This window comes from Homo sapiens, unplaced genomic scaffold, assembly GCF_000001405.40.
Source record: "Homo sapiens unplaced genomic scaffold, GRCh38.p14 Primary Assembly HSCHRUN_RANDOM_CTG33".
Classification (NCBI taxonomy): Eukaryota; Metazoa; Chordata; class Mammalia; order Primates; family Hominidae; genus Homo; species Homo sapiens.
The window spans coordinates 6,431-13,873 of NT_187509.1; the positions used below are offsets into that span (position 1 = coordinate 6,431).

Consider the following 7,443-nt stretch of genomic DNA (forward strand, 5'->3'; position numbering starts at 1 on the left):
ACCACACTGGCCAGGTGTTTACCAACCTACCCCTTCGTACAAAGTTCAACCTGACATTGTTTGGTAGTCAATGATATAAAGCTTGTTGTCTAAGTCAGCATCTGCAGTTTTACCGACTGATAGAAAGGTACAAGATAGAATATGATTCGGGACAGGAGTCATCAACGTGTTGCCTTTCTGTTGCATGGAATGAACGTTTTGAAGTTGGAAGTGTCCTGAAATTTCAGGACTTCGTCTTAAAGATGAAAAAAAGATGAGGTGTCATGCACAGCTATTTTGTGGCAGCATTTGAATTCAACCCCAAGTCAAGTTATGATATCTCCTGTGTCAGAGGAAAGTACTTTTGATAATCCTAGAAATATCAAGACTCCAGTGGCAGTGAATATTTGATTTCCACTTTGAAATGTAGATCACATTAGCAGGATATTCCCTAAAGGAGCTTTATACACAGTTGGTCCTCCCTCTGTCAACCTCATCTCCGACTCAAGTGGATCGAGTTCAAAACAGCCACACTTGTTCCAGAAGCCAATTTTGTTTGGGCCATAATATAGAGATGGTCCCATCCAGCCTTTAAGCATGCTAAGCACAGGTAGCTGTTTGTTACAATAGTTGAAAGGAGAAAGCCATAAAAACAAAGTCTCCCACTATTTCATCCAATTTAAAATTGCGGAAGGTGACAGAAAATATAACTGAAAGCTTTCCCTAACCTCTCTTTAAAGAAGTCCTAGAAAAAAAAAAGAAAGCATTTATTTCCTTGATGATTTCTAAGTAATAACTAAATATGGATGCAATTTTGAACCGTGTATGGATGTTCCCAGTATAATGTTCCTCTTTTGGAGACATCGCATCATATTTATTTATCTCACTCCCTGTCCTTTCCCCCATTAAAGTGGACCTGTGCATAGTTGATGCTTGTACCAAGATACACACCTTCTTCCTGTTTCCAGGACGGTACGATGGGAGGCAGGAGTGAGTGTCCGGAAAGAGGGAAGAAAAAAAAAAAACAAATCTCATCATTGTTTATTTGTCTACTGCTTTTGGCTCTGCTGAGATGTGAAGTCATTCTCATTTCATTGTGTTCGGAAGTATAGCCTGCGACTTGTTGAAAGCTTAGCGCTAGACCTGCCTCTCAGAGACTTGCTCCCTCTGGAAATGCCCAGCTGAGGATGCGCGTGGTGCGTGTTGAAGAACACTGCCTTAGAGGTGGACACTTGGGGACAGGTGCGCTGCGGCCGGACTCGTGGACAGTTGCGCTGCGGCTGGAGCTGGCCCCGCATTTCTTCACTTTCTGAATCGTAATGCCCTCAGTGAGTTGCAATTTCATATTGCTACATTTGTTTTTACTGGTGTTAAATTCCGGCAGTTAAATCTTTCAAGGGTTACTAAAAAATGCGAATATTTGTGTATTTACATGTCTAAGGAGAAGACCCTTTGGCAATCCAGGAGGAGACAAGGACTCAGGCTTTTTCTTCCAGTTAACTGTGGAGGACACGCCGTTGCTGCTGTGGCTGCTGAAGGAGGAGAAATCTCCTTGTTCTCCCGTCTTCCTGCTCTCCAGTCCCCTGTCTGGGCTTCCCATTTGCTGAACACAGCCAGATGCCAGCCGAGCTCAGGAAGCGTAGTTTGCAGGGGGTGTATCCAGAGACACAGCTCGGAGCAAGGGAAGCGAGAGGAAGAGATCCAACCTTAGGACAAAGGGCCAAGAACTTGGAGAGGACTTGGCCTAGGAGACAATCTAGGGCAAGCACGTTATCCAGGGTGACTGGGCAGGCAGAGAAACCCCAAGAGGCATAGAGCTCATGTCCGTCCAAAGTAGGAGAGTCTGGGCTCTGCTCTCGGAGTCGGAGCTGGGGGCCTTCAGGGTACTTCCTATGGAGACAGCCTAGTTTATCAGAAAAAAGGGAACTTTCTTTTTTACCATCTAGCCTTCACCTTGGCAGGGAGACAGGTGTTTTGAGTAGAAACACTTCAACTCGACATGTCAAACCAGTGCTTCAGCAGAGCTGTGCCTGGCCCGCCCACCTCTCCCCTACCCTCGGTTTTGGTCCAGAGTCTATTCTGAATGTCTGATGTCTCTCTTGGTTAGTGTGATTGAAATACGGCAGAAAGCCGATTGCATCGTGTGGGGAAGTTGAAATCAATGCAACCAACAATTATATTAACGGTCTAGTTAAGAATAAAAAAGTAATAGAACAGACGTGCCTTGGTGAACATTTATTTTCTATGGAGAAATAAACATAGTTGCTGCTTTTGGACTCCACCCTGGGCAACAAGGTAATGAATGTGGAGTTAGGTGGTGACTAAAGAATTTGGATTCTTTCCTCCAGGTTACAATGCTCGTTAAGGGGCAGCCTGTAATGAAACCTGCGATATGTGCTAGAACCAACTAAATGATTATTTTAAAAGTCACAGTCTGCATGGGGCTTCATAAATTCACGCCAGGGAGAGCTGTCTAATGGGATTGCCACCTTCCACCCCCAACGCAGACTTCAAAGCTCCTTGCTAGGTCTCCACTCAAAGGCTTATCCCATGGCCCGAGCAAGGAAGGCCTTTGTGTGTGAAAACACCTGCCACCCAGCTTCAGGAGCACTGAGCGCTTTCGGCATGGCCGTCCCCACTGGCCCACATGGCATTTCTTACAGTGAGCTTGGTTTTTGACTGCATTGTTTTGCTTAACAAGCTGTTTTTTTTCTACAGATGTAACCTTTTCCTGTGTTTCCTGACTGGGACATCAGCCAGGTATTCTAGCCAACTTTGGTAGATATATATCATTGTTTTTGTGCCAGGCTTGTTTTAAAAAATCTACCTATTGCTTGCCCTGATCAATCCATCACTACCCTTGAAAAGGTCATGGTTCTCTCATCAGGAAACTTTTCAAAAATCCTTGGCTGTGATTTATCTTATGTTATGGGCTCTGACAGTGATTCTCAGGAAGTGAGGCCCATTAGTTTCTTGTAAGGTCACTCCCCTGCTGTTGCATGCAGAGTGAGTATCAGTTGTGCTTGCCTGAGTTTGAAGCATCCTCTTGGGTGATTTCAAGGGGGGCAAAGGCAGGGCCATGACTGGTTTCTGTGTGGAGACTCACACGGGTGAGACAGGTGATCCATGGTGGAGAGGGAGGGTGTCTCTTGTAGGTGCTAGAGCCTCAAAGATAGCTCTTATTTTCAATCCTGCTTCTCCAAGATTCAGTTCACAAAGATAAGCATGCCTGGAAATATTTAATATTTTATCTTATTATATTCATATTCTGTGGTTGTTTAAAAATTCTTCAGTATGTTATAAACAAATGTTTCTGATTGCCCATAAGCTTCGTAGGGACATTAATTATTACTGACATGAGAAATTAAAGGCAGCCTGGATATTATTTTTAGGAATTACAGCATTTGAAAATCATATTCAGTGAATTTCAGAGAAATTATATCTATACTATTTAACACCGAGTAATGTTTAGTGAAAGGGTCAGACACTTTGGGGTAAAAAGCGGCATTATGAAGTCAAATAATTTGTTTTCATGTTTAGGAAGACATTTTTAGGGATATAGTTTTGGTTATATGAATTCTTTGTGATAAGGGCAAAATCAGATATTATACAGGAAGCATTTATGATACCCATTCAATTGTAAGATCTCACTATTTTCCCATTCAATAATCTCAGCCACCTAAAATACGTCCAGTGTATATTTTCTGTTCTTTCTAGATATATCATCATTTCAAATGCTCATTTCAGCCATGATCATTTATTCCAGAAGCACTTGTTAGGACATTATACTTATTTCCTTTAAGTATAAGGTCCTGTGTTGACTACTGAGAATGAAAAACTGAACAAGACAGAAAGTCCCACCTTGAAGAGCTTCCAAGTGTAGCGAGTCTCCTGGCATCAGGTATGGCTGGTATCATGGAAACACTCGGCTGACTGTCCAGGAGATGCTGGTTAAGAGGTGGAAGGTGATGGCGTGAAATCAAGTTCAGGTTCAGGGGACACTCCTGAGAGCATTCCTGCCCTGTCCCTGTGGCCTGAGCGGCCTTCTCAGTTGCACAGGTAGGTTTTCTCTGCTCTGCACTCCCTCTGTCCCAAGGTACCCTTTAGCAAAGTGTAAATTTGTAAGAGTGGTTAGCCCTGGACTTTATCTCAAGTCTGTAATAAGGGCACCTACACTAAGACTGAAACTGGAACATGCTATTGGTGATCAAACCATCAGTGTTAATAAGTCACTTAAGTTACATTTATGGACTGGAGAAAGAAATGGAAGAAAATCAGAGTACAAATAATAAATGGTTACCAGGTCCCTAGATCTGAAAGGGCGAATACATTCATGCAGTAGGTGTCCAGGATACTCATGTGGTCCTCCTTCATGCTTAGGAACACAGACGCTCATCTTCACTATGCAAACCAGAGCCTGCGTGCCTTTCGTGGTCCTTCATATTTGCAGTGTGTTGGTTGGAGTTGCTTTCTTAGCCATGACAGTGACTGAAGGGAATATCAGAGTCTGTTAATGAATGATGCTTAGAGATTTCATTTTCAAAATATATTTTTAAATTACCTAATTATATGATATTGTATTGGAAAGTTCTTAGATTAGGTTTCACTTTAGAAATGTGATTTGGCCCTAAGAGTGATAGGAAAGAAATATGTTCCTAATTATTCTCAGATAATTAAAATTCATGCTGTTCTTTATGCTTGTTGAATTAAACATAAAGGGAAGACATCTTATTGTTTAATAATTAAAATAATTTGAATTAGATTTTAAATTGGCCTCAGGAACATCACCTTGGTTCATTTACTGATAATACATTCCAAAACTGATGATTCTAACTACTTACCTTTGAAGGAAAAAATTTGGCTTTTTTTCCTCATTTCTTCTCTCCCTCCTCCTTGAGAGTAATGTGGTGTGGTGGAAGAAAGATTTGCTGAGTGTTTGGAAGCTTACGTTTTAGCTTGGCCTCCAATATTTCCTCATAGTAAATCTCTAAAGCCCTTTGAATTCTTTGAATTCAATTTCCTCTGTGGCAAAATGGAGCTAGTAATGCAACCTCATGCAAACAACAGAGACTCAGATGAGAGAACTGATATGAAGACATTAATACAGCTGCAAAACATTATATAAATGCAAGGTATTATAATTACTAGTTCTGGTTCAATACAAGGCACTCCATGCATGTGGAAAATAACTACCTATGGCCAAAAGGCGCATCATGAGTGTCTCCTCCTGCCACGGCTCCCCAGGTCTTCCGTCATCCCATTTCATTCCTAGAGGCAACCACTGTTCCTGGTGAGTGCTAAGGACCTTCTGGAAATAGCGACACAGCAAGAGATTTTGCTAAGTATGTTTAATAGACATAGGGCCCACTTCCCAGGAGAATACCTTTTAATTTTAGTAGGACACAGTTTTCTCAAGATTTGCTCAAGATTTAAGGAATCGTACTTGCTCAAGATTTAAGGAATACCACTTAGGAATTTTTTTGGTTAAAATAGAAAAGAGTAGGATCTCTATGCTGTTAGCTTGCTGAACCAGCCATTTCTCAGATGTGGGGTGAAATTCATGGAGTACCACCGAAGGGGTGGAAATAACACAAGGAGCATGAGGTATCAGCCACATACCTGCCTTCACTACCCAAAAGGTAGCATTTCTTTTCAAAGCTGTTTCTCCCCTTTCTCGTTTGTAGATCACTGGGTGACAGCTCTGACAGAAACGAATAGCAGGTGGGATGACATGCGTTCGTGGGATTTAGGTTATAGTTTGGCTGTAACATATTGCTGTGTCTCTTTTTCCAGACATGCCTTCATTTCGTAGGCTCAACACCTCTTTTCAACGTAATGATTAGATTCAAGGCCTGCATTTCAGTCAAGACGTAGTCACGAGTCACTGTGTTCTTATTGTCACAGCTGGGGCTTCAAGCCCACATCAGCTCTTCCAGAAGATCAAGGGAGTCAGGCCACCCAGGAGCAGAGGAGAGGATGTCCCTCAAGAATGAGACAGGAAATGCAGAGGAAATGGGACACCACCTGTCCTGGAAGACAAGGCCAGTCACGGTCTCGTAGCACTCATTCTAGGCAATCCACCCACCCATGAGGGGAAACGTGGGGAAGAAGAAAGCTTCCCTGCCTGAGACACGTATGGAAGCCAAGAGCTCCTGGGTCATGATACCTGCCCAATTAAGCAGAAACAGGTTTGGAGACAGAAACGATCATGACACGGACCTCCAGGAAGTGTCTCCTTGACGGACTGGGAAGTCATCTTTGTTGAAGGCATTCGGTCAGAGCGAAACGCATCCAGGCCCCTGAGAAATAGGGGAGGCAGAGCCAGAGGGAGGAGAGAGCAGAGGCCAGAGCACAGGCAGGATACAGCACTGTGCCACGGCCACGGGTGTAAGGGGTGGGGTTCCAAAAGGGTGGCTTGTCCAGAGAGGCCAGCGTTCCAGTGACAGGGATTGTTGCCATCTTCCATTCCCGGTTTCCTCTTGCTGACTGTATCGTGGAGTGGCTTCATTTCTCAGAGAAGAGCCGTGAAGAGATACAAGCGTCTTCTCTAGCGTGGATCCGCTGCTCTCCTGTGGGACAAAGAGTTCCTCTGGGGCTCTTGTCCTCCGCTGCAGTATGTTCATCTTGATCCTAGAAAAGAGGCTGCACAGGATGGGGATGAGATTTCACTTGCTCCGGGAGCGACGCGTCTTCTCACGTGGGCCAGGCTTTCACACACCCAAAGCGGATCCGCCGCGGCAAAAATGATTGACAGCCGGCTTCATGACCCAGGCAGAGAAGCAGAAAGAGGCTCGCCAAAGACAGGCCACCATGCGACAAACCACTTTGTGCCGCACAGGGCACATTCGGCCAAAGACACACATGCACACGGGCATACACACACAAATCCATAGAGAGAGGGAAAGAAACACACAGAGACTGAGAGATAGAGAGAGAAGAGAGAATGGGAGACACACAAACAGACACACACACACACGCAGAGTCATACAACAGAGGCATTGAAACACACACCCTCTGGCAACCCCTGAGGCTGCGGGATTCTGCTCTGGAGGAGAACGACCCTCGGGTGAGAGAGCAGCCGAGGGGCACGCAGGCCGACCCGTCCTCGAGATCACAGACAGCGGTAAGGCTTTTGGTGAGACTCACCCCAACCAACACCGTCCGTGCAGGCCTGAGGCTGGGATCCCGTGCTGCTTCCCCCGTCTCCGCCTGGGGTTTCATCATCATGGTCGGCCCTTTGCGACTGCTATCATCAGGAGAGGTTCCCTTCGACCCCGTGGAAAGGTGAGGCCGGAGCCTCAGAGCCTGGATGCCCAAGCAGTGCCAGGGAGGGCTCCTGCTCTGCCAAGCCTCGGGAACTGGTGTCTAAGACAACCGTGGGAACCACTGTGACGGGAGAAACCGCTCGCGCCTAGCGCATGCGCATTGGCTGAGCCGACTCACGCTCCACTCCTGACAGATAGG

The 7,443-nt window shown here is 45.1% G+C and overlaps 1 long non-coding RNA gene across 4 annotated transcripts; it reads right to left on the reverse strand.

Moving 5' to 3' along the window:
• Positions 1–1,008: 1,008 nt before the first annotated feature.
• On the reverse strand, positions 1,009–7,213 carry LOC102723847 (uncharacterized). Of its 4 annotated transcripts, none has more exons than XR_951447.2 (3): positions 7,126–7,213; positions 3,841–4,080; positions 1,009–3,208 (listed from the first exon to the last, which is right to left on the reverse strand). It is a non-coding gene; the product is annotated as an uncharacterized LOC102723847 (long non-coding RNA). The 4 variants fall into 4 exon arrangements; XR_951448.2 differs by having other exon boundaries at positions 3,841–3,926; positions 7,126–7,211; XR_430626.3 differs by lacking the exon at positions 7,126–7,213 and adding an exon at positions 4,280–4,384.
• Between the last annotated feature and the right edge of the window lie 230 nt (positions 7,214–7,443).